The 27,349-nt window shown below is 40.1% G+C and overlaps 1 protein-coding gene across 6 annotated transcripts in view; it reads right to left on the reverse strand.

Moving 5' to 3' along the window:
- CLIC5 (chloride intracellular channel 5) overlaps positions 1 to 27,349 on the reverse strand; it is a 248,993-nt gene that overhangs the window by 178,888 nt on the left and 42,756 nt on the right. For 4 of the 6 annotated variants that reach the window (XR_926258.4, NM_001114086.2, XM_011514692.4 and 1 more), the window contains exon 1: positions 19,989 to 20,634. The exons of 1 other annotated variant lie outside the window; for it this stretch is intronic. Coding sequence is in view for 4 of the 5 variants with exons in the window: in NM_001114086.2 (NP_001107558.1) it covers positions 19,989 to 20,528 (540 nt within the window). In the remaining variant the exon portion in view is untranslated. Of the gene's footprint in view, positions 1 to 19,988; positions 20,635 to 27,349 lie in introns of those variants that run through there. One more of the 6 variants, NM_001370650.1, reaches the window with a different exon arrangement.

Genomic DNA, 27,349 nt, shown 5'->3' on the forward strand with positions numbered 1-27,349 from the left:
ATTGCAAGTAGCCACTGAGACTAAAGTCAGTTTGCACTCAGAGCTGCATGCCCTTCCCATGCTGCCAGTCTGCCTCCCAGAGGGAGTGAGGAAGTGGAAGTATAATAATCACCCCTCTCACATAAGAACAGGATTGCCTGAGTTTGTGGGGTATTGCTCAATAAATGTTTGGTCAGACCAATGTCCTAGAGATTTTCCTCAATGTTTTCTTGTAGTAGTTTCATAGTTTGAAGTCTTAGATTTAAGTCTTTAATCCAATTTTGATTTGATTTTTGTATATGGTGAGAGATAGGGGTCTAGTTTCATTCTTCTGCATATGAATATGTAGTTTTCCCAGCAAATATTAAAAATAAAAAAATTAAAAAACAAGAGGAGAACACTGATACTACAGAGACATCTTTCTAAACCAAATAGTTTCTGTGGTATAATTTAGGAGGCATAGTCAGTCTCTTTGAGTCTCAAATATGGTGAAGCAGATCCTGTCCAGGGCCCTGCTGACATGAGTATTTTGGTAAGAAGAGCTGAGGCATCCATCAGGATGATTATGCAAGTTGGTTTGCCCTAAATACGGTGTATTTACTTATTAAAAATTTTTTTAATTAAAGAAATCAAACTGACAATTATGGAAATTACTTGTAAAATTATTGAGGTTACTTTTAAGAGATTCTCAATGTAAATACAAGTAAAAACAATCTCTGTGAAAAAAGAGGGTGGGGTGGGAGTGGGGGTGCTAATAGTTGTATGGTGCTTATTTTGTGCCTAGAATTTTACATATATAAACTCATTTAATCCTCACAGCAATCTAGTGAAAGGTTAAGTAGATTGCCCAAGATCACAGACTTAATAAATGACAAAATCAGAATTTGAACCCACACGCTCTTGCTTGAGAGTGTATGCTTTGATCCACTATGCTAAACCTCCTCTTAAAGCAGCACAGGATTGGGTAGGACAATGTAATTGCTGAGGCCTGGAATCTCTTCCCTGATCCTACCTGCCACCCTGGTGCCTGCATTTTTTTTCAGAGCTTAAAGCCTGCTTCCTTCATGAAAGCTTCCTTGAAAAATCCAGTCCTGTTCCATCTCTGCGTGCCTTCAGTGGTTATTCAGTACTGAGCATTATATGCTCTAGAACCTGATTCCACCAGAACTCTAGCATTAATTCCTAAGTCCTTCATGTTGTGAATCCTTCTTCCTGAACCAACTGGTCACAGCCCCACAGAAAGAACGAACCCCCAACTTGGACTGTTTTCTTATCTCTTGCAGTATCTGCACATTAGGTACAGAGTGCGGGTTCTATAAAGATTTATCAACCTGTTGATTTGACATATTAAAGAGAGACATAGGAAGGAATAGGCAATAGACGAGAGGCTCATTCTTGCAGCTATAAAATTTTTATTATGGAATAAGAACTCACCACACTCACAAGAGAATTGCTTAACCATCACCTTTATAGATTTTTGTTTTTGTTTTTGTTTGTTTGTTTGTTTGTTTGTTTTAGACGGAGTCTTGCTCTGTCACCAGGCTGGAGTGCAGTAGTGCAATCATAGCTGACTGCAACCTCTGTCTCCCGGGTTCAAGCAATTCCCCTGCCTCAGCCACCCAAGTAGCTGGGACTACAGGCATGCACCACCATGCCTGGCTGATGTTTTTGTGTGTTTTATTAGAGACTGGGTTTCACCATGTTGGCCAGGATGGTCTCGATCTCCTGACCTTGTGAGCTGCCCGCCTTGGCCTGCCAAAGTGTTGGGAATACAGGCGTGAGCCACCACGCCCAGCCAACAAGTTGTTTTGACTGAGAAGGGTGGTCAAGTGCACTGTCCTGATGTCTGTGTCTTGGTTCCAGGCTTAATGTTGCATTTGGCCTTAGAGACTAGAGGGGCAACATCCTCAGTCCTCAAAGTTTCTGCAGCTTTGATGGTTCCTCTTGGCCAAAGAGAGACACTTAATGGGCCTGGACGTGGCCATTGGATTTTGACAGCTTTATGGAGATTTGTAAGGGCTGTTTGCTTTGCCTAATAGTTATCATTTCAAACCAATAGATTCATACCAAGTTGTATCACAGATGTTCTTTTTCAGTGTGAATACTTTTCTCCAATGGTTTCTTTATTTTGTGGACATGAAAACTCATCTGTCTCACTAAATCCCATCACTCCACCTTTTATATTCAGACAAGAATAAAGACCCAGGGAAGAGCCTGTGACCACAGAACTGATTGGTCTTCAAGCCAGATCTGAACCCAGATCTCCCTGTAATAGCACTGTCCTACAGAATGTTCTGTGATGACAGAAGCTGCCTTTTCCAACACAGTGGCCATTAGCCACTTGTAGCTGTAGAGCACTTGAGATGTGGCTGGTGTGACTGAGGAGCTGCATTTCTAATTTTATTTCACTGTAATTCATTTAAATTTAAACAGCCACATGCGCTAATGGCTACCATTTTGAATAGTGCAGTTCTAGAAGAACCAAGCCAGTTTATAGAGAGCTGCTATTGTAAATATAAAAGATTACTCACCATATTCTTTCCTTTCTTGCCACCAAAGAAGAATATAACAAAAATACTTCAGTAGAGTGTAAAAAAAAATGCACTTGTGGTTCAACTTTTAACAAAAGGCATTCATGCCAGGTATTTCTTACCACCTTGCATGTTTACTTTGTGGTTGTTATCACTGAAACCTCAGAACATTAGTTGTTTCTTAAACAATGTACTGTCTTATTTATTTAAGCTGTTGCCATGTTACTGTTGTCCATGGTGCCCTGTGCATGGAGGCTGACAGCCTCTGACAGGCCCTGCCCTTCTGCTGACCCCCAGGCTCGTGAAGGGAGGCAGAAGGGCACTGCTTATAAAGCATAAAAGTGGGACATGCCTTCGAGCCCAGTTTTCTAACCTTTGTCCTCACAAGATTGCACAAATCACTTGGTTCCATGCCTGAAACACATGCTTCATGCACAGGGAGAGTCTGTCATACTTTTGAGGGAGTGTTACCCATCTAGGAGCAGAGCTGCTGATCAGCGCATTTTCCTAGGTACGCATCACAATTCATGCACAAATAGATTCTCAACACTTGGGGCTGAGTATTGGAAGGTAGCTGGAGAATGGGACTTCATTTTGGCAACAATAAATTCCATTTTTTCTAGAGTTTTCTAAAGAAATTCATAGAATCATCAGAGGCTTGAATGGTAAGAGGTTAAAAGATGAAGTGACATTGCACTTAGGCTGTGTCAGTGAATGACTGGCTGAGGCATCTGTTTCCCTGTTTTCTCATTGCTGAAAAATGGTATGCTGCCTTTTGCAAAGTCTTTATTTTGTATCTTTATCTTAAAGTGGAAGATAAAGACTTTGAAAAAGACAGCATATCTTTAAAGAGAATGGAAACAAGGGTCAGAAAGGAGTTTTTTGTCAGAAGGCCAAAATATGTTGCTATAGCTGTCATCTCACAATGTCACTTTAATGATTATTATCACTGGATTTTAGTCCAGTTGAACTTTATGACTACATGCCAAACTCCAACTCATTCTTGAACCCAAAAGGGCAATATTCCAGAAGAACAGAGAAGCAACTCAAGATAAATGGAGATCTTAGAGTCAATTGCAACAACCTCCACTTCTGGCCTGACAGAGTAAAAGAAACCAGATTTACCCTTAACAAATACAACAGTACCAACAGACAAAGTATATGAAATGATGGTTTTCAGACATTAGGAATAGGATACACGGGACCCAAACACAGCCTGACAGTCTCTCTGAGTTGAGCAGACAATGGAGTTTGGAGTTCGGGAAGGTCAAGGCAGATAGAATTTACAGATCTAAATACCAGAGGAGATGCAGTTCCTAACAGAGAGAGAGAGCTTAGAGAGCACTCTTGAGATGTGCAGAGGAGTCCCCTTGAATCTTTGACTAAGTCCTGATCTGCATGTGCATGGGAGAAAACTATCAAGTATGGGGAAAGAACTAGAGATGCATAAAAGAAGCAATCCCAGGATCTTACACAGGGCTGGTAATAATTTGTGTTCCCAGTAGGAAGAGTGGAAAGACCTCCTAGTACACAGGGCATTGGGCAGAGTCCTCGGAAGGCCATTGCTTCGGTAATGAAGCCACATGAGCTGTAGACTAGGGCGTTTCTGGACCCACTTCTACAAAGCTTAAAAGCAAGGCTCAAAAGGATTAAATTCATTCTATGTCACTTAACTATATCCCAGAATGAGGCCTGACACTTTTTAAAGGAACACAACAAAATCCAGTATACAACAACATAAAATTCAGTATGTCTGGCAGCCAAAAGATATTACTAGTGTATGCAAATAACTAAGAAAATGCAACTCATAACCAAGCATGAAAAATATCAATATAAACCCATATATGGTTAAAATGATCAAAATTAGTATATAAGGACATTAAAACTGCTATATAAACATACATCTTATGTTTAAGAAGATAGAAGAAAATATGAAGAGAGAATTGACAATAAATTCAACAATTTAAACAGCAAATAATTTGAAGGAAACAAATTATCAAACTCAGTGACAAAGAAAGCAATAACCTGAATATCCCTATATCTATTAAATTCACTGAATTTGCAAGGGGAAAAACCTTCCCACCAAGAAATCTCTAGTAAAGATAGTTTTACTAGTGAATTCTACCAAACTATTAGGGAAGAAATAGTATCACTTCCACAAAAACTCTTTCAGAAAATAGAAGAGGAAACACATTCCCATCTCATTCTAGGTGGGCATTATCCTAATATTAAATCCAGACAAATACACCTGAATATTTCTCATGAATATGCAAAAATATTTAACAAAATTGTAGCAAATCAAATCTAGAAACATATCTACAACATTCTACATATCAACAACATATCAACAACATTGTTGTAAATTCAACAACAAAATTGTAGCAAGTCAAATTTAGAAGTCTATAAAATAATAATAAATCATTACTAAGTGGGGTTTAGCCCAAAAATGCAAGATTTGTTTAACATTTGAAAATTAATCGATGTATTTGACATTAAAGGGAATGAAGGAAGAGAAGAAGGGAGGGAGGAAAGGGAAGAAAATAAATCCATATGTTGTACCATATACAAAATAAACTTGAAGTGGATGATAGAACCAGATCTATAAAAGTTCTGGAAGAAAACAAAAAATCTTTGTGACCTTGGGTTAGACAAACATTTCCTAGATAGCACACAAAAAACACAAACCATAGCATTAAAGAATTGATAAATGGGTTTCACCGAAACAAAAAAGATCTGCTCTTCAAAAGACACTGTCATGAAAATGAAAAGTCAGGCCATACTTATAAACTATTTGCAAAACATGTATAAAGAAATTGTCTTGACTATATAAAGAGGTTTTAAAATTTAATAGTAATAAGATCAAATGCTAAAATAATAAGCAAAATATTTGAATAGGTGCTTCACCAAAGAAGACAGAAGGATGACTAATAAGTACATGAAAAGATGCTCAGCCTAATTAGTCACTAGAAAAATAAAAATTAAAGCTACAATTTAGTGAAATGCCGTGATATATTTATCAGTATGCTTCAAACTTAAAAAACTGGCAATGCTGAATCCTGGAAAGGCAGTAGCTAGAAATCTCATACAAATTTTGACAGCCACTTTGAAAACAATTTTCAAGGTTTTTTTTTTTTTTTAAAAAAAAGGTTAAACATTCACTAACCATATAACTAAATAGTTCCACTTCTAAATATTTACCCAAATGAAATATAAAACATAATCAACACAAAAGCTTACACATAAATCTTTATAGCAGCCTCATTTTTAACAGCCAAAAACTGGAAAAGAATCCAAGTGCCCTCAACTGCTGAATGCATAAAAAGTTGTAGCACAATACATTCACACAATGGAATACAACTCAGTAATAAAAAGGGACCAACTGCTGATTTACGTACCAACATGGTGAGTTCAAAAGCATTATGAAAGAAACCACACACAAAAGATTACACAGAGTTTAAGCCTATTTATACAATATGTTTTAAAAGCAAAAACTGTAATAATAGAAAGATCCTTCTAGGAGGCAGGAGGTGTCTGGGAAGGGACTCACAGCAAAGGAGGTAAGACAGAGCCTTTTGAGGTGATGGGAATGTGCCACATCATGATTATGGTGATGGTTAGATGACTGTATACATTTGTCAAAACTCCCTCAAATGCACACTTAAAATTGTGGACTTTTAATGTATGTAAATTATATCCCAATACTGTTGGCCCCATAAAGCAACATACATACTAGGGCATATGGTATAATGCATTTGTGTCAAATAAAATTAAAAAAGGAGAGAATTCCAAATATACGAACTTGTACACATATTTGCTGGAATGCACATAAAATGTCTCAAGGGGCATATTAATGAAATGTGTAGAAGGGACTGCCTCTGAAAATGGAAATGAGGTGTCTGAAGGAGTATGGTTGGGAAGCAACTCTATCTTTTGTACTTTTCAAACTTAGAACCAGGCAAACAATCAACCTATTCAAAGCGGGGGCAGGGGGCAATGTCAGCTGGGTTCCAAAACCTGCTGCTGCTCAACAGGACTTGTCAAAATCCTGTTTCTATGTGGGAGCACCTCTATTTTTTACTCACTATATCCCCTTTTTCCCATTTACAAAATCACAGGATGCCTGAGTATGAATTTTCCTTCTCTGTTTTCTCCCTGACTAGCTGGTTTGTCACCAGGACTTGCCATAGACCCCACTCTACCCTAAAGTCAAATATCAATAGCTGCAGGTACTCAAGGATCTTTGCTTGAATACTGACCAAATTTCCCAGAACACACCAAGAAGCTTTCCTTCCAAAAGCAAACTGAACTATCCCCCGCCCCCCATAACCAATTTGGTTTAAATCAACACATATTTATGAGCCCTGACTATGGACCAGACTTTGTGCTAACTGTGGGGGGTACATGGTTGAATAAGATGTAGCTGGAAAGTGCTTTCCTTGTGGAGCTTTCAGTCTTGTAATAGACTGGGGGAGATACACACTTAACCAGATAATTTTAAAATGAGGTAAGAGGTGCTAAAATGAAGGCAGGCACTGAGGGAGAATACCTAGAATGATCTGAAGGTTCAGAAACTGCTTCCCAGGGAAAATGAGTTCAGAAAGATGAGGATTTAACCAGATGAAGGAGAGGAGAAGGTGTTGTAGGCAGAGGTATCAGCATGGGCAAAGCTGGATGGAGCAGAACAGCATCCTATTTGTGGAGAGCTCAGTACTCCTGGGACACGGTGAGTGAGGTAGAGCATGGTGGGAGATGGAATTAGAGAAGCCATTAGGTTGCTAGGGGCAGAACATGCAAAGGCTTTGTAATGGGACGCTCAAAGGTGAACTTGATCATGTTGGCAATAGGGAAGGTTTACAGCAGGGGAATTGAGTATCCAATTTGCAATTTCGTTCCAAGGGATGGTCTTTACTCCACTGGTTGAATGAAGGCTAGCTGAGGGTCTCAGGGATAACTGTTTAGTTCACTTTGACCAAATTTACCGAGTCCCCACTACAACAAGCTCAGTGCCCCCACAGGACACGGAGCTACCGAGATAAGAAACAAGATTCGTTCCCCAAGGAGCTGATAGTCTGGTAAATTGCCCTTTAAAAAATGGGAGTTCAAAAAATGACCCCCACCGACTAGTCTAACACTATCTCCCCCTTGATATTCTGATTGGAAGCCACATCCTGGCCAGCTGATATTCTCTCCCGCAGGGTTGACACTGAACCTTTTCTCCTGATCACCACGTCTAGTTTGGCTTCTGTGTCTGTTGACAAAACAGTGTTCAGTAAATCATATTAATGCAGAAATACAAAGGCAGGCCCAGGAACAAGGATGCACTGAATTAGTTCTAGCCACATGGCTTCCACAGGCTGCTCCTTGCAGTGTCTAACCCCAGTTGCTGTGCAAATCCTCAAGCCCTTTGACTCCAATGTCCCTTTAGAGCTCAAAAGATCAAATAAGCACTCAGCGTACTGGCTTTCTGTCCAACTTCAGGATGATGCTAGGAATGTGCCAGGCATTCTAATGAGTGCCTGAGAACTAAAGAGATGAAGATACAAACAGTCCACTAAATTCTTACATAGTCCCTTGCATCAAGGGGGAAATATGGATTCTGGAACTGGCTGCCCATGTCTGGGGGTTCCCATTCAATCCAACTCATTCTTCCTTCAGACAGTAGTGGGTTGAAGAGTGGCCTTAAAAAAGTTATGTCCACCTGGAACCTGAAAATATGACCTTATTTGGAAAAAGCGTATTTGTAGATATAATTTAAGCTAAGGATCTTGAGATGAAATCATCCTGAGTTAAGGTGGCCCTATATCCAATCCCAAGTGTTTATCAGAGAAGATAAGGGGAAACAGATACAGGAACACCAGGGAGAAGGCCATGTGATGAAGGAGGCAGAGACTGGCGTGATGCAACCACAAGCCAAAGATTGCCAGAAGCCAACAGAAGCTAAAAAGTACAAGAAAGAACTCTCCCCTAGAGCCTTCAGAAGGAGTGTGGCCCTGACAATACCCTATCTTTAGACTCTGGCCTCAATAACTGTAAGAGAATAAGTTTCTGTTGTTTTAAAACACCATGTTTTCAGTAATTTGTTACAGCAACCCTACAAAGCTGATACAGAGGGCTTGGACTACCACTCTTACTACTGCTGCCAGCCACTGGCCCAAGGCTTCCTCCTCCCTCATTACCCTGGAGATTCCTGGGGGTAACTTATTTCCTCCCTCCTTCCTTCATTCAACCATCATTTTAAGTATGCCAATGGACCAAGTATATGAGAATGGAGGCAGATCTTCCTTCAGGAGTTCACAGCTAGGGAGATATAAAGATATAAACAAGTAATCATAGCATTTAATGTTATGGCCCGAATTGTATACATACCCCCCAAGTTTGTATGTTGAAATCCTAAACCCTTGGAATGTGGCTGCATTTAAGATAGGGTCTTTAAAGAGGTGATTAAGTTAAAATGAGGTCATTAGGGTGAGCCCTAATCCAAAATGACTGGTGTTCTTATAAGAAGAGAAGATTAGGACACAAACATGCACAGGGGGAAGACCATGTGAAGACACAGAGAGAAAGAAGATGGTGATCTACAAGCCTTGGAGAGATGACTCAGAAGAAACCAACCCTGCCAACACCTTGATCTTGCTCTTCTAGCCTCCAGTATTGTGAGAAAGTAAAGTTCTGTTGTTTAAGCCACCCAGTTTGAGATACTTTATTGCAGAAGTCCTGGCAAACTAATACATTAAGGTAAGAACAATGAAGGAGTGCAGAGCCAACACAGCCCAGCCTTTTAGGGAGGGACGAGGAAAGCCCTCCTGAAAAGGTGACTTCTAGGCTGCATTTGAAAGGACAGGAAGGAAAAGCATTGAAAGAGGGCAACTGGAGCAAAGGCCCAGAACCATGAAGTGTGCAGGGAAGTACAGGCTAGTGAATGTTTTTAAGACACAGGGTGAATGAGGAGTGACAAGTAATGAAGTCTTAGCTAAAAGTCTGAGTATCATGAAAAACTTTTATGCATTCGCTCCATCCTGGCCTTTTTCCTGGAGCAATAGGGAGCTACTGCATAACTAAAATCAGGGGAATGGCATGGTCTGATGTGCTCTAAAGAAGCACATGTGAAAGAGAGAAGATCCAAATAAACACAATTAGAAACAACAAAAGGGATATTATCACTGACTCCACAGGAATACAAATAACTATCAGAGAATACGATGAACACCCCTATGCACACAAATGAGAAAATCTAGAAGAAAATTGATAAATTCCTGGACACATACACCCTCCCAAGACTGAACCAGGAAGAAACTGAATCCCTGAACAGACCAATAATGCGTTCCAAAATTGAATCGGTAATAAATAGCCTGCCAAAAAAACAAAAAAAGAAAAAAAAGCCCATGACCAGAAAGATTCACAGCTGAATCCTACCAGATGTACAAAGAAGAGCTGGTACCATTCCTACTAAAACTTCCAAAAAATGGAAGAGGAAGGACTCCTCCCTAACTCATTCTATGAGGCCAACATCATCCTAATAGCAAAACCTGGCAGAGATACAGCAAAAAAAGAAAACTTCAGGCCAATATCTATGATGAACATTAATGCAAAAATCTTCCACAAAATACTGGCAAACTGAATTCAGCAGCACATCAAAAAGCTTATCCACCATGATCAAGTAAGCTTTATCCCTGGGATGCAAGGTTGGTTCAACATATGCAAATCAATAAATGTGACTCATCACATACACAGAACTAAAGACAAAAAAACGTGATTAACTCAATAGATGCAGAAAAGGCTTTCTGATAAAATTCAACATCCCTTCATGTTAAAAGCTCTCAATAAACTAGGTATCAAAGGAACATGCCTCAAAATAATAAGAGCCATCTGTGACAAGGCAAGATCCAACATCATACTGAATGAACAAAAGCTGGAACTATACCTTTTGAAAACCAGCACAAGACAAGAAGGCCCTCTCTCACCACTCCTATTCAACATAGTATTGGAAGTTCTTGCCAGAACAATCAGGTAAGAGAAAGAAATAAAAGGCATCCAAATAGGTACAGAGAAAGTCAAACTATCCCTGTTTGTAGATGACATGATTTTATATCTAGAAAACCCCATAGTCTTGGCCCAAAAGCTCCTTAAGCTAGTAAGCAACTTCAGTGAAGTTTCAGGATATAAAATCAATGTACAAAAATCACTAGTATTCCTATACACCAACAACAGTCAAGCTGAGAGCCAAATCAGGAATGCAATCCCATTTATGATTGCCACAAAAGAATAAAATACCTAGGAATACAGCTAACCAGACAGGTGAAAAATCTTTACAATGAGAATTATAAAACACTACTCAAAGAAATCAGAGAGGACACAAACAAATGGAAAAACATTCCATGCTTGTGTACAAGGAGAATCAATATCATTAAAATGGCCATATTGCCCAAAGCAATTTATAGATTCAATGCTATTCCTATCAAACTACCAGTGACATTCTACACAGAACTAAAAAAAAAGAACTATTTAAAAATTCATATGAAGCCAAAAAAGAACCCAAATAGCCAAGGCAACCCTAAGCAAAAAGAACAAAGCTGGAGGCATCATGCTACCCAACTTCAAAATATACACAAGGCTACAGTAACCCAAACAGCATGGTATTGATACAAAAACAGACACATTCACCAATGGAACAGAATAGACAGCCCCAAAATACGGCCGCACACCTATAACCATCAGATCTTCGACAAAGCTGACAAAAACAAGCAATGGGGAGAGGACTCCCTATTCAATAAATTGTGCTGGGATAACTGTCTAGCCATATGCAGAAGATTGAAACTGGACCCCTTCTTTATTTCATATACAAAAATCAACTCAAGATAGATTAAAGATTTAAATGTAAAGCCCAGAACTATAAAAACCTTGGAAGACAACCTAAGCAATACCATTCTGGGCATAGAAACAGGCAAAGATTTCATGACAAAGATGCCAAAATCAGTTGAAACAAAAGCAAAAATTCACAAATGGGATCTAATTAAACTAAAGAGCTTCTGAACAGCAAAAGAAACTATCAACAGAGTAAACAACCTACAGAACAGGAGAAAAATTTTGCAAGCTATGTATCTGACAAAGATGTAATATCCAGCATCTAAAAGGAACTTAAATTTTTTTTCATATAAATTTAACAAATTTACAAGAAAAAAACAATCCCATTAAAAAGTGGGCAAAGGACATGAATACTTTTCAAAAGAAGACATACATGGGGCCAACAACCATATGAAAAAAAGCTTATCGCTAATTATTAGAGAAATACAAATCAAAATCATAATGAAATACCATCTCATACCAGTCAGAATGGCTATTATTAAAAAGTCAAAAAATAACAGGTGCTGGCAAAGTTGCAGAGATTAATGACCACTTATACACTGTTGATTAGAGTGTAAGTTAGTTCAGCCTTTGTGGAAAGCAGTGTGGTGGTGATTCCTCAGAGACCTAAAAACAGAATGACCCTTCTACCCAGCAATCTCATTACTGGGTATATACCTAAAGGAATATAAATTGTTCTATCATAAAGACACATGGATGCATAAGTTCTTTGCAGCACTATTCGCAATAGCAAAGACATGGAATCAACCTGAATGCCTATAAATGGTAGACTGGATAAAGAAAATGTGGTACATATATACCATGGAATACTATGCAACCATAAAAGAACGAGATCATGTTCTTTGCAGGAACATGGGTAGAGCTGGAGGCCATTATCCTTAGCAAACTAATGCAGGAACAGAAAACCAAACACCGCATGCTCTCACCCATAAGTGGGAGCTAAATGATGAGAACACACAGACAAATAGAGGGGAACAACACACACTGGGGCCTATCGGAGGGTAGAGGGTGGGAGGAGGGAGAGGATCAGGGAAAATAACTAATGGGAATAGGCTTAATACCTGAGTGATGAAATAATCTGTACAACAAACCCCCATAACACAAATTTACCTATATAACAAATCTGCTAATGTACCCCTGAACTTAAAAGAAAAAAAAAAAAAAAGAAACACATGTGGATCATTCCTGTGGCTAGGTGGGGGGAGGGGGGATCCTAGGGAGATGGATGACTCTAGAGGCAGAGTGACCAGTTAAACAGCTGTGGTCAAGATGACACTGATCAGTAGTGGCCAAGATGAAGAGGAGAGAATATTTTCAGAGGTGAAATCGATTGCACTATTGAAAGTAAAGGAGAAATGCAAATCCAAGTTATTCAGAAGTTTTAGTTTGTACAATTAGTGATGCTGTCCAGGATGATGGGATTAGTAGTGCATGCATTGACATTGAGTTTGTAGTCTCTTGGGGGAAAAATTGCAAAACATTCTTTAGAAAAAAATATGGGCCCTAATTTGGGGATATGTATTTCAGAGTATCACATCACTTTCATTTTCAGAGTTAACATAACTCTCACATGATTATTTGGTGATGCTTCTTTATTATTCTTTCATGAAGGTTTCTTCCCATGGTTCCTAAAGGTGCTAAAAGGCTTAGAAAAGGATTTGTTTCACCCCATAGCTTATTCTACCCCTCCCACATGGGCACACAAGGTGTGAGTACCCAGGCAGGGAAAGTGGAAAGCATCACAGTGATAGTTAACATTTCTGAGAGTTCATGGACCCTCCTGAAATCATCTGGCACAAATATTTTTGCATAGGGTTCTAGAATGTTCCTCAACCTTCTGAAGCATATTCATGAACATATGAATATATTCCCAGGCTAGGAATGCCGATATAAAGAAAAATCCCCTGGATGGACAGCCCAATGTACTAGCTTGCCAGTGATTTGCAGGCAGCCTTAGGAAGGTTGGTTCACTCCTCTGACTTTCCACATTCTTGGCACAGTGCTAAGATTCTGAGAGTCTTTGATTAATGGCATTGATTCACAAAGCAAACCAGTTCATATGGGCACCTAGAAAATAATTTTGAATAAAACTGGGCCTTGATTGTGTTCCCAGCACTCTAATTAAGTGAGTCCAGCCAGGCTATCTCACCCCATGCAAACACACTTTTTAAACTGGAAACTATACTAAAATAACAATCAAAACCTTGTGCTGAATCCATATATCTCCCCCTTACCCTCACAAAATATAAAGTAGCTGGATACACAGATAGATAATATATAAATCAGCATCACACCAGCTAGCTTTTTCCACGAAAATTGGTTTATATGAAGCCACAGATTTAAATACGTGGACACATCCAGATGATCAGTTGAAGAGATACAGTGTTAATGATATATGATATATTTATATCTAAATACTTGAACTAATCTTTGAAACAAAGCATGATGTCTGTTTGGTTCTGTTCTAGCTGGTAGGTGGAAATTCTTTTTAATTTGCTTGCTGTCCTAAACATTGTTTTGCTCATGGTATCCTCCTCAGAACATTCTATTACTCTTGGTTGCTCTCAGGATAAGATCCAAGCCCCTTAGTTTGCAGTGAAAGGCAGCACTCTTAGTTATTCAACTTCGTCATCTGCTCTTCACCTATGTGGGCCTTCTGACCCACTCAACCAAATGGACCTTGCCATACACATGTGAGTGTTGGCTGTGACTCTGCTTCTGCTGAGCCCACTGCCTGGGACGTCCTTTGAGCCACATCTCAACATCCCAATCCAGCTTCATTTATCTCATTTCCTCAAGGGGATTTTATAAGTTTCTCACCTGCAATGATAAAACTTTGTTTGCCTCCAAGGTAAATGCACTAAATGTGTTGCTTATGAAAGCATCCAGGAAGAACCTAGGAAGTAAGGGGATCTGTTCTCATCAGCTCTTGGCCAAGGAAAGAGGTCCAGGCCCACAGATCATAGCAGAAAAGGAAGGAAAGCCTACAAATCAGTAATGTTTTTTTAAAATTGCATATCCCTATCAATATAAAACATTTACCCACAATATATGTATATTTACTCACTTACAAATTATATATGTATATACTACTGTAAGAGTACACTGTGCTCATTGTAAAATATATAAAATATTAACATTTAAGGTGGTTAGATAAAAGTTCAATAGAAATGTTGCTTATTATTTTTCATTCTAATTATAGTATTCTAACACCACATGGATTATGTTGAGTGCCCCATTTTGAATACCATGACCCCTATAACCACATCAGGCACCTCTGCTATGGCAATAATAGTAATTACGACAATTCTGGAGCACTTTACTATGCTGAGCCAAATTATAGTGAATAATTCCTTTAGAATAATTATGGGCTATGAGTCTAAAAAGTATTAACCAGTGTTGTTCTGTTGCCTGACTTCAACAGGACATTTACATTTTCTGTGAATAGTGCCCCCTAAACTTGTTCAGTGCACAACCTGTGCATCCCCGCATGAGGGCCCTATAAGTGTTCTATCAGAGATAGGCTCTGAAGCTGCAGATACTTTCCAAGGGACAGGCTTCACGTGAGCTGAGTGTGGACAGGAGTGTTGTTCTTATGTCAACTTTTCCAACCACAGCCAAATCTAGAAACCATAGTCAGTGTTGAGCAGTATCTTAGAGTGGATAATAGGTGGTGCCATATACACATGTACACACTGACCAGGAGTTGGAGCCATACACCTTGGAATCTAAGACTGTAAGATCTAGGAAAGATTCCTTTCAAGGATGAAGAAATTTGGGTCCAGGGACATTTTATGCAAAAGTATTGACAAAGTTGTGTTAGAATTCCCTGACCACTGCTCTTTCCACAATATTGTATTGCTCATGTTTGAAAAACCCAGTAGGATATTTACTGAATGCTTGCTGCAAAGCACTATGCTTAAAATAAAACGTCATTTCCTGAATGGTTCCAATTTATCACAATAAGTAATAATTTAGGCTCCTATATATTGACATTTACCATATGTCAGATACTATATTAAGCAACTTATAAGCATTATCTTATTTAATCTTTATAATAACCCTATGAGGAAGGTATCATAATGTCCATTTTATCAATGAGGAAATTGAGGCTGAGAGAAGCTCAATAATTTAACAGAAATTAATCTGCTAAAGTAGGTTTCAAATCCATGCAACCAGACTTCAAAACCTGCTCTAGGGGCTGGGCACAGTGGCTTCTGCTTGTAATCCTAGCATTTTGGGAGGCTGAGGTGGGAGAATCACTTGAGCCCAGGAGTTTAAGAACAGCCCTGGCAACGGGGCAAGACCCTGTCTCTACAAACAAACAAACAAACAAACAAAAAATTTAATTAGATGGGTATGGTGGTGCACACCTGTGGTCCCAGCTATTCTAGAGGCTGAGGCGGGAGAATGGCTTGAGCCCAGGAGATTGAGGCTGCAATGAGCTGTGTTTGCACCATTGCCCTCCAGCTTGGGCAACAGAGTGAGACCCTGTCTCAAGACAAAAACGAAAACAAAAACCTGCTCTAAGACATATTCCGCTTCCATAATAAATGACATAAATTATGTATAGGACAAATGGTGTTTATTTGTACCATTTTCTTTTGCAATAACCATTATCAGAATACTTTCTTCCTTTGCATTAAACAAAATACTAGAATGCTTTTTTCTCTCTCCATCTCTCTCACCACCCATCCCCTCTCTTTAACATACATACATACAGACACATTAGCGAATATCAGCTTTCTCATTCGCACATTTTCTGAGAAGGGGTCCATAGCTCACTATAATCTCTAGAGTCAACCATGGCTCTTTATTTTTCTTTTCACCCACATCAAATTCTTCAGCAAAATGCTTGGGCTTTCCCTTCAAAACAATCCCAATGCTCCACTGCTGTCACAGTAACGCACCCTCATCTCTTGCCTGAAGTTTGTCAGTTGCCTCTAAACTGTTTTTCCCTGTTACTGTGTCTACCCGTCCCAGCTACAGCCTGTTATAAAAAGGTGGCCATACTGTTCCTTCCAAAATCGCCCAATGCCTCCCGCTGTCACTCAGAGTGAGTGAGGTTCCCCTAGTGGCCCCTAAGGACTGCTGTGATCATGGTCTGTGCCTCTGCACCTCTCCAGCCTCATCTCCTACCACCTTGCCTCCCTGGCTCACCCACTGCAGCCACACTACTGCCTCGCGCCTACTTACCGTCACTCTCCATCCGCCAAATATGGCCATGTCCGAATTCCCAGAAGCTGCAGATTACTTTATGTGACAAACGGACTTGCAAATGTGATTCAACTAAGAATTTTAAAATGAGGAGATTATCCCGGATTATCCTTGTGGGTCCAATCTAATCGCAAAGTTCCTTACAAGAGAAATGCAAGGAGAGTCGGAAGAAGGCAATGGGATGATGGAAACAGGGCGAGAAGAGGTGATGTGATGTGGGCCATGCGCGAGGAATGAGATCTGCTTCTAGAAGATGGAAAAGAGAAAGAAACAAATTCTCCCCAGAGCCTCCAGAAGGAAAACAGCTCTGCTGACACCTTGAGTTTAGCCCCATAAGACTCATTTCAGACTTCTGACCCCCAGAACTGTAAGAGAATATTTGTATTCTTTTAATCCACTAAGTTTTAGGTAATTTGTTAGAGCAGAAATAAGAAATTAATACACCCATATCCTGTTTTATAGCATTTTCACCATTAGCCCTATTTTATATTTATTTGTTTATTTGTTTATCAGTTGTCTCTCCCACTACAATGCAAAGTGCCTGGGAGACATGGCTGGGCGCGGTGGCTCATGCCTGTAATCCCAGAACTTTGGGAGGCCGAGGTGGGTGGATCACTGAAGTCAAGAAATCGAGACCATCCTGAACAACATAGTGAAAACCCGTCTCTACTAAAAATACAAAAATTACCTGGGCATGGTGGCGCATGCCTGTAATCTAAGCTACTCGGGAGGCAGAGGTTGCAGTGAGCTGCCCTCCAGCCTGGGTGGCAGAGTGAAACTCCGTCCCAAAAAAAAAAAAGTGCATGGGAGACGAGACTTTTTTTTTCTTCATTGGTGTAAACCCAGCACCTGACATAAGATCTGTTGAATGAATAAATGAATGACATATGTTACTTAATTAAATAATTGGTCAACACTCTGAAATGATTAAGCCTCAATAAAATGTTGGTTAAACATATACTTACAAACCTGCATGACATTCTCACCAACATGTCTAGAACAGGTGAAAACATACACAAATGAATACAAGTATCAATGCAGCCCAGTGGTCCACACTAAAACAGCCCAGGAGAAGAACATCCAGAACTGAAAAGCCGTAAGCCCTACTAGGAAGACAGTGAGCCACAGAGCTCCCTCCAGTGTGGGGGACCAACATCCCTTCCACAGAGCAGGGAAGAGGAAAAGGCCTGAGAGGTCACACTCACACCCTACAGTTTCACTCAAGCAGAGAAGGCCCTGTTTTACTCGATTTTATATATTCTACTTCCATTCAACATTGGGTAAGGAACTTCAGTGAAGATAGGGCCGAGTGTGGAGCTAGGAAGCAGGGATTATAACTGCCGCTCTTTTTATTACTGAATATCCTTAAAAAGGAGTTTATGCATAGAAGCTGAGGTCAGTGGGACACTCTATGGCCTTTCAGTTCACACAATTATGCTAAAAAGAATGTAAACTTAAAGAGTTAAATCTAATATTTGCTTTAGGAAATTTTAAGTAATTTAGGAATTACATGTTATAGTCAATCAATTTTCCCTGTTGCTGGTACTGCCAGGAAGTACCAACACTTCTTTTTCCTACTACTTCTGTTTTTGCTCAATACCAGCCATAGGCTAATTTCTAGTGAGATAAACACTTAGCCAAATTTAGAAATAATGTCAGATGGGTCCATGATGATGATCATGGTGATGACCCACTTTGCCTGTCACAGGTTGCATGGATGCTTCTGCCATGAGAAAAAAAAAATACATCTAGTCCTCACTTTAAAAAAGTCTGTGGCCAGGAGCTGTGGCTCACGTCTGTAATCCCAGCACTCTGGGAGGTTGAGGCGGGTGGATCACTTGAGGTTAGGAGTTTGAGACCAGCCTGGCCAACATGGCAAAACCCCATCTCTACTAAAAATTCAAAAATTAGCCAGACCAGGTGGCACATGCCTGTAATCCCAGCTACTCGGGAGGCTGAAGCAGGAGAATCATTTGAATCTGGGAGGTGAAAGTTGCAGTGAGCTGAGATCATGCCATTGCACTCCAGCCTGGGTGACACAGTGAGACTCTGTCTCAAAAAAGAAAAAAAAAAAAGTTTGTTTGCACAGTGTGACAGTGATGATGTGGATATGGAGGTCAGAAAACTGCGTGAATGCACCTGTTCTAACATCACCTCCTCCGTGGAGCTGCTCCAAACTCAGTACACATCTCAGCACTCCTTCTCTGAACACCCACACACTCCACCCACTCCTCTGTTTCATCTCTTACTATATTGTATTAGAATACATTGAGTGCAAGTCTGTCTCTGTCACCATATTATTCATTACTTAAGAGCAAGGGCCTTGTCTTGCACAGCCCTTTCCCCCCAAATGCTCAGCAGAGTACAAGGCAATGTGTGTCTGGTATGTATGTGTGAACCAAGCACTATACTAGATTATTTTTAAAAGGACCTTGTAGTAGAATAAGTGATCCATGATTTACACACAAAACAATTAGAGAAAAGAACAAATTACAAGACAACAAAGGGCAAAATTAGTAAAGTGTGTTTCATCAGAAATGTTACTGGGAACTGGGGAAGAGAGAAATGAGTATGAACTATGGTTTCTGTAGGTTTATAATCATTTTTATTGGCAGGAAAGAGCAGCATTTACAAATATATTTATATAATAAATGTGAAAACATTTCTAAAAATCACATAAATATGAATATTGTGGGGGAGATGTTGGGGAAAAAGGGCCTGCCATCTTGATTAATAAAGATGATTTGTTTAGGTCTGAAACACTTTACATTTTGATAATATTTATAACCATAACTTTATTACTTTATCATCTAATACAAAGATCACCAAGGTTCTGTTTAGATATCGTAAGCATTAAACATTAACACTGGTAGTGTCTTACTACTACTGAAATCATTTGACTTCATCAAATTTTTAGTTATATTGGTGCCAAAGGGGCAAGCTAGTGACAGAGATAGCCTTTATTGACCACCTATCTGACAAATCTGTGACCTTAGAAGCACAAGAAGGTCTTTCTTTCACAAGCTTTGGTTTCACTTTTAAACATGTTGACAAAGGAAATTTAACCAGACAGAAAAATGTACTTAATGTCAGCCACAATGGCAAGGATTTGGGCAGCAGTTATGGCTCACTTATGTGAACCGTTTTGAAAAATACTTTGCCCATGGTATGTAAAAGTCAGTGATTAAATACGTGCTTTAAATGCACCTTCCAATTCCTCTAATTTTGTGAAGAGCTGAGTACACTCTAATGACTGATTTAGTCCCTCCGACTCCTGAATATGTATTGAGATCCAAGGACCATGGCATTATGAATCTTTCCCTGGTCATTCAGAGCAAAATAAAACACCAGCCATAATATCTGCATGAACAGGGTATGCCTGTCAGAGGCAGACCTTACCTTCACAAAGAGGTAAATCTCAGGGTTCATGTGAGCTCCCTCCTTTTCTTCCAAACCTTCAGCATCAGAATAGCAGGAATACTTGGTGGTAGAGAAGGCCTTACTGTGCTGAATGGTGAAGCTTGAAGGAGAAGGCAGATCTTCCTTCATCACACTCCCATTCTCCTGGAGTTCTGCTGCGCAGAGTTGCTGGTCCTGGGTTGATGAATATAACCCTTCCATTGAGATGCCCCTGTCCTCCTGGGGCTCACCTGGATGAGCCTCCTGGAGTTCAGAGTATATCTCATCAGGCAGGAGGTAGCCTCTGTCTTCTGACTGGACAGAGGCCAAGCTGGTCTCTTCACCCTTAATGGTATAGACTGACACAAAATCATACTCATGGGTATTCAGCTGAGTGGCATATAAATCATTTTCTGGCCTTAAGTACTCATGGACATCATCATAATGGGGACTTTCATTTTCTTCTGGCTGGTCTGGAACCTCATACGTCCTCTCATTTTGGATTGTGTCATAGATGGTGCTGTAGTCTTCGTCATTCATGCTTATTGATCCGAGAGATCTGTTTACAGGGAGACCTGAGTAGATCTGAAATGAATGAAGGGACAGAGGATGCTGCACCACCTTGCAGAGGAATCAACGAGCTCTTAAAAGGCAGCAACTAGCAACTGCTATCAATGACAGGTCTCTAACAATTATTTACTGGAGAGTTTTATAAGCAAACCACAAGTCCATTGGACAGAAGATAAAGCTTACACACTCAGTTAACTCCTTCACTCCTAAAGATATTTTTATTAGACCCTGGGGATTTCCTCATTGGCAGTAACTCCAAGATTCTTTGGGTAAGCCAGAGATTGAATTGAATTATCTTCCTGGTATACACTGAAATTTTGAATATGTAGCCATTTTTCATCAATAGAGCTCCCTCCTCCAACTGCCTCCAAATGTTGACAACATTCAAGAACCCCTGCAATTCAGTGGAGAGCTACAATTCTTCACAATGGCCTCTCATCTATTTACTGCTGAATTTATCACATAGAACAATTATTTGCCTATTGATACCCTGTGATAAATGAATTACATGCCCTGGTTAGGTAATGAATTCCATTTACATTTCTTATCTGGAAACACCACTAGGTGATTAAACAGCAGAAGGAAAAGAAGATAAATGCTCTGGCCTATAGACACATCAGTATAGACCACCCAAATTAGGGACTCAAAGACTTATGGCTTTAATTTTTATTTTTCCCCCTTAAATCTGCATGATCATCACCATCAACAAACATTCACTAAAATCCTATCATATACAGAATGCTGAATTGAGCACAACAAAAGCGTTAGAAGACACATTCTCTGTCTTCAAAGGGGCTTTTAAATGTAGCTGGAGGGCCCAGAAGAGAAAAATAAAACCGAGGAAAAACTATTTAAAGTTTTCTTAGTGCAATAAGCCCAGGTCTGGATAAGCAATAAAAAATTGTATGCACAAGGCTGTTCAGTCAATGCCATCCACAGATGCTGTGAATATGTGTGCCCCCCAAATTCTTTTTAATCTGGTACTCTATCCTGCTAATTCCTGCTTCCCTTTGCCACACCACATACATCTTTCTCCTTGAAGTGACAACCCAGCTAGGTTGTAAAGGGACTTTAATGTCTAGAAATCATGTGAAAACTGTGAAGCAATGCAACTCCTGTTGACAAGCTTCAGAACATTTGATGGGCATCTTGGCAAAACTTCGTTGTACTCTTAGACTTCAATATTGTATCCAGGAATCTTCTACTGGGAATTAGAGCAGCATTTCTAGAATTCTAGCTTAAAGAATGGGTAAGGAAAAAGAGGTCAGAGACTTCAAAGGCTATTGACACTGGACATTTATCTTATTGAAAAGTGACATTCAATGGGTCCAAATACCTTACACATTTTGATAGGTTCTATAATCAGGTGTTTTTAATTGAATGGATTCCAGTTCAAATCTTCCTCCTAGTTTTACAGCTGGTGAAAACCTAAGAGATCATTCAAACATTTTATTTTACATTTGAAAAAAATTTAAACCTAGAAAGTGGAAGTGAATGGTCCAAGTTTACACAAAAACTTAATGGCGGAGCTGACTTTAGCTGTGGTTTTTGAACCTCCAGCTCAGTAATATTTCTGCTACTAAATCTCTTCCTTAACTCAGTATTTTCCAATCTTTTTTTCATGATCACACACTGTCCCTTCCCTGCTCCCAAAGGAGCCTTTTCAGATATTTCTCTATGAAATAAAAATGCTGCAGATATACTACATATCTGTTTGCATATTGTATATACATATGCATTTTGTACATTAAAAGAGTAACTTTTTTTTCTTTTTGCTTCCCAAGAACCAATTTTCACCCCTTGGGGGGTGACACTACTCCTTTCCACAATGCAACTCATGCTTTTACTACTAATGCAGTGTGTAGCTCATAATCTAACACTGGATTCTGTTTCATTCTGCATTATTACAAAGAATAGTATACAGCATGTGCATATGGATACAGCATGTTGTCAAGTCCTCACCACAATGACCCAGTGAGGCAGGGCTGAGGTTGGCTAAGCTTAGGGCCCAAGATCAAACAGATATTTCAAATTAGGTCCCTCTCTTATCCCATTTTAGAACACATCTATCATGATCTACAGTTACAGGTTGTAATATGAAACAAGTCCTTCCGTTAAAATGTAAGTCAGGTCATATTGCTCTGTGCTCAAACCCCTACAATGGCTCCCCATTTATCTTAGTGAAAGCCAAAGTCCTTACAACGGCCCACATGGCCCTGCATAATCCACAACCACTCTCCTATACCTGTTTTTTCACCCCTTGCCGACCCAGCTCCAGACAATTGAGCCTTGTTTCTATACCTGGAACACTCCTGGATATTCCCATATTAGACCTTTTACATTGGCTATTCTCTCTAAGAGAACACACATTCCCTGGATATTTGCATAGTCAATTCCCCCAACTCCTATAAATTTTTGCTTTAATGTCCCCTTCTCAATGAGACTACACTGACTGTCCTGTTTAAAATGACAACCCATCCCAAATCCTATCTTAATCCCTGTTCCATTACTAAAAACCCTTACCCTACTTTCCCCCCCTTTTCCATAATATTTATCACCCTCTAATAAGATATATACATAACTTATTTTTTATGTCTAGAGGTTTTATTTTCTGTCTTATCCTACTAGAATGTAAACCCTATATGGCGGCGAATCTCTGTCTACTTTTTCATCATTATCTCAAGTACCTAGAACAGTGTCTGGTACATATTATATATATGTTGAATGAATACGTATTTGTTGAATGAATTTTTAAGATTGCTGACATATTTATCCTTCATTGGGTACTTACGTTTCACGAGAACAAGGCCCATGCCTATTTTTTCACGTTGCTATATAGCTAAAGTCTAGCAGATATCTGATATGTAATAGCTGCCTATTAAATATTTGTTGGATAAATAAATTAAAGGAAGAAGATGTATCTAGCATTCATGTCCTTTTACTCCTGGCTCAGTTTTCTGAGCCATTAATTTTTTGAAGGGTTTTTTCTGTCTCTATTTCCTTCAGTTCTGCTCTGATTTTAGTTATTTCTTGCCTTCTGCTAACTTTTGAATGTGTTTGCTCTTGCTTTTCTAGTTCTTTTAATTGTGATGTTAGGGTGCCAATTTTGGATCTTTCCTGCTTTCTCTTGTGGGCATTTAGTGGTATAAATTTCCCTCTACACACTGCTTTGAATGTGTCCCAGAGATTCTGGTATGTTGTGTCTTTGTTCTTGTTGGTTTCAAAGAACATCTTTATTTCTGCCTTCATTTCATTATGTACCCAGTAGTCATTCAGGAGCAGGTTGTTCAGTTTCCATGTAGTTGAGCAGTTTTGAGTGAGTTTCTTAATCCTGAGTTCTATTTTGATTGCACTGTGGTCTGAGAGACAGTTTGTTATAATTTCTGTTCTTTTACTTTTGCCGAGGAGAGCTTTACTTCCAACTATGTGGTCAATTTTGGAATAGGTGTGGTGTGGTGCTGAAAAAAATGTATATTCTGTTGATTTGGGGTGGAGAGTTCTGTAGATGTCTATTAGGTCTGCTTGGTGCAGAGCTGAGTTCAATTCCTGGGTATCCTTGTTAACTTTCTGTCTCGTTGATCTGTCTAATGTTGACAGTGGGGTGTTAAAGTCTCCCATTATTATTGTGTGGGAGTCTAAGTCTCTTTGTAGGTCACTCAGGGCTTGCTTTATGAATCTGGGTGCTCCTGTATTGGGTGCATATATATTTAGGTTAGTTAGCTCTTGTTGTTGAATTGATCCGTTTGCCATTATGTAATGGCCTTCTTTGTCTCTTTTGATCTTTGTTGGTTTAAAGTCTGTTTTATCAGAGACTAGGATTGCAACCCCTGCCTTTTTTTGTTTTCCATTTGCTTGGTAGATCTTCCTCCATCCTTTTATTTTGAGCCTATGTATGTCTCTGCATGTGAGATGGGTTTCCTGAATACAGCACCCTGATGGGTCTTGACTCTTTATCCAATTTGCCAGTCTGTGTCTTTTAATTGGAGCATTTAGTCCATTTACATTTAAAGTTAATATTGTTATGTGTGAATTTGATCCTGTCATTATGATGTTAGCTGGTTATTTTGCTCGTTAGTTGATGCAGTTTCTTCCTAGCATCAGTGGTCTACATTTTGGCATGATTTTGCAGTGGCTGGTAGCAGTTGTTCCTTTCCATGTTTAGTGCTTCCTTCAGGAGCTCTTTTAAGGCAGGCCTGGTGGTGACAAAATCTCTCAGCATTTGCTTGTCTGTAAAGTATTTTATTTCTCCTTCACTTGTGAAGCTTAGTTTGGCTGGATATGAAATTCTGGGTTGAAAATTCTTTCCTTTAAGAATGTTGAATATTGGCCCCCACTCTCTTCTGGCTTGTAGAGTTTCTGCCGAGAGATCCGCTGTTAGTCTGATGGGCTTCCCTTTGTGGGTAACCCGACCTTTCTCTCTAGCTGCCCTTAACATTTTTTCCTTCATTTCAACTTTGGTGAATCTGACAATTATGTGTCTTGGAGATGCTTTTCTCGAGGAGAATCTTTGTGACGTTCTCTGTATTTCCTGAATCTGAATGTTGGCTTGCCTTGCTAGATTGGGGAAGTTCTCCTGGATAATATCCTGCAGAGTGTTTTCCAACTTGGTTCCATTCTCCCCGTCACTTTCAGGTACACCAATCAGATGCAGATTTGGTCTTTTCACATAGTCCAATATTTCTTGGAGGCTTTGTTCGTTTCTTTTTATTCTTTTTTCTCTAAACTTCCCTTCTCACTTCATTTCATTCATTTCATCTTCCATCACTGATATCCTTTCTTCCAGTTGATCGCATTGGCTCCTGAGGCTTCTGCATTCTTCACGTAGTTCTGGAGCCTTGGCTTTCAGCTCCATCAGCTCCTTTAAGCACTTCTCTGTATTGGTTATTCTAGTTATACATTCTTCTAAATTTTTTTCAAAGTTTTTAACTTCTTTGCCTTTGGTTTGAATTTCCTCCTATAGCTCGGAGTAGTTTGATCGTCTGAAGCCTTCTTCTCTCAACTCGTCAAAGTCATTCTCCGTCCAGCTTTTTTCCATTGCTGCTGAGGAACTGCGTTCCTTTGGAGGAGGAGAGGCGCTCTGCTTTTTAGAGTTTCCAGTTTTTCTGCTCCGTTTTTTCCCCATCTTTGTGGTTTTATCTACTTTTGGTCTTTGATGATGGTGACGTACAGATGGGTTTTTGGTGTGGATGTCCTTTCTGTTTGTTAGTTTTCCTTCTAACAGACAGGACCCTCAGCTGCAGGTCTGTTGGAGTTTGCTAGAGGTCCACTCCAGACCCTGTTTGCCTGGGTATCAGCAGTGGTGGCTGCAGAACAGCAGATTTTCGTGAACCACAAATGCTGCTGTCTGATCGTTCCTCTGGAAGTTTTGTCTCAGAGGAGTACCTGGCCATGTGAGGTGTCAGTCTGCCCCTACTGGGGGGTGCCTCCCAGTTAGGCTGCCCACTTGAGGAGGCAGTCTGCCCGTTCTCAGATCTCCAGCTGCGTGCTGGGAGAACCACTGCTCTCTTCAAAGGGACATTTAAGTCTGCAGAGGTTACTGCAGTCTTTTTGTTTGTCTGTGCCCTGCCCCCAGAGGTGGAGCCTACAGAGGCAGGCAGGACTCCTTGAGCTGTGGTGGGCTCCACCCAGTTCAAGTTTCCCGGCTGCTTTGTTTACCTAAGCAAGCCTGGGCAATGGCGGGTGCCCCTCCCCCAGCCTCGCTGCTGCCTTCCAGTTTGATCTCAGACTGCTGTGCTAGCAATCAGTGAGACTCCGTGGGCGTAGGACCCTCCGAGCCATGTGTGGGATATAACCTCCTGGTGCGCCGTTTTTTAAGCCCGTTGGAAAAGCGCAGTATTAGGGTGGGAGTGACCCGATTTTCCAGGTGCCATCTGTTACCCCTTTCTTTGACTAGGAAAGGGAACTCCCTGACCCTTTGCGCTTCCTGAGTGAGGCAATGCCTCGCCCTGCTTCGGCTCGTGCACGGTGCACTGCACCCAGTGTCCTGTGCCCACTGTCTGGCACTCCCTAGTGAGATGAACCCGGTACCTCAGATGGAAATGCAGAAATCACCCGTCTTCTGCGTCACTCACGCTGGGAGCTGTAGACCGGAGCTGTTGCTATTCGGCCATCTTGGCTGCCCTTCGTGAATGTCTTAAGTGATAGATAAGTGGACAATTAGAGTGGAAGAGGGAAGTTAAGTTGTGAAGTATGATGCAGAGTTGAGAATTCTTAATGATGGAGAGTAATCCTGATTGGATGGAGTGTGTGGATTGTGGGAAAAGTAGAGAAGAGGACAGTACTGGGCTAGACTGTGGATGGCCTTGAATGCTAAGATCAGAAATCTGAATTTTATGCTCATAGGATGATACTGAAAATGAGCAGCCACATAACACAGATAGCAGTTCAATCCACAACCATTTAAATTCCAGCTGGATTCCAGACAAAGACAGATGCTCACAGAAAACCATTTCTAGTAGCTGGTATTGCTTATTGGAGCAACTTGGTCCACTGGCACATCGTAGCATGATATCCCCCATTTTGATATGGGCACAGGGAGGGAACTGTGTGTAAGCCACCTGATAATGTCAGATGGTTTGGCAGAGTCATTTCAGTCACTGTGCACATGCCACTCTCCCATCTACCTCTCCTGGCATTCTCTCTTCCTTAGAGTTCCATCAAATGCCATTCACAGCCAGTCATTGAGTGGCCTTGGTTTTCATAACCCTCATCTCACAACCTTCTGAATTTTATTCTTCACAATGCTGTCTCTGCCATCCTAGCTCACCATACACATCTCTTCATAAATGCTT

This window comes from Homo sapiens, chromosome 6 (assembly GCF_000001405.40).
Source record: "Homo sapiens chromosome 6, GRCh38.p14 Primary Assembly".
NCBI classification, from domain to species: domain Eukaryota; kingdom Metazoa; phylum Chordata; class Mammalia; order Primates; family Hominidae; genus Homo; species Homo sapiens.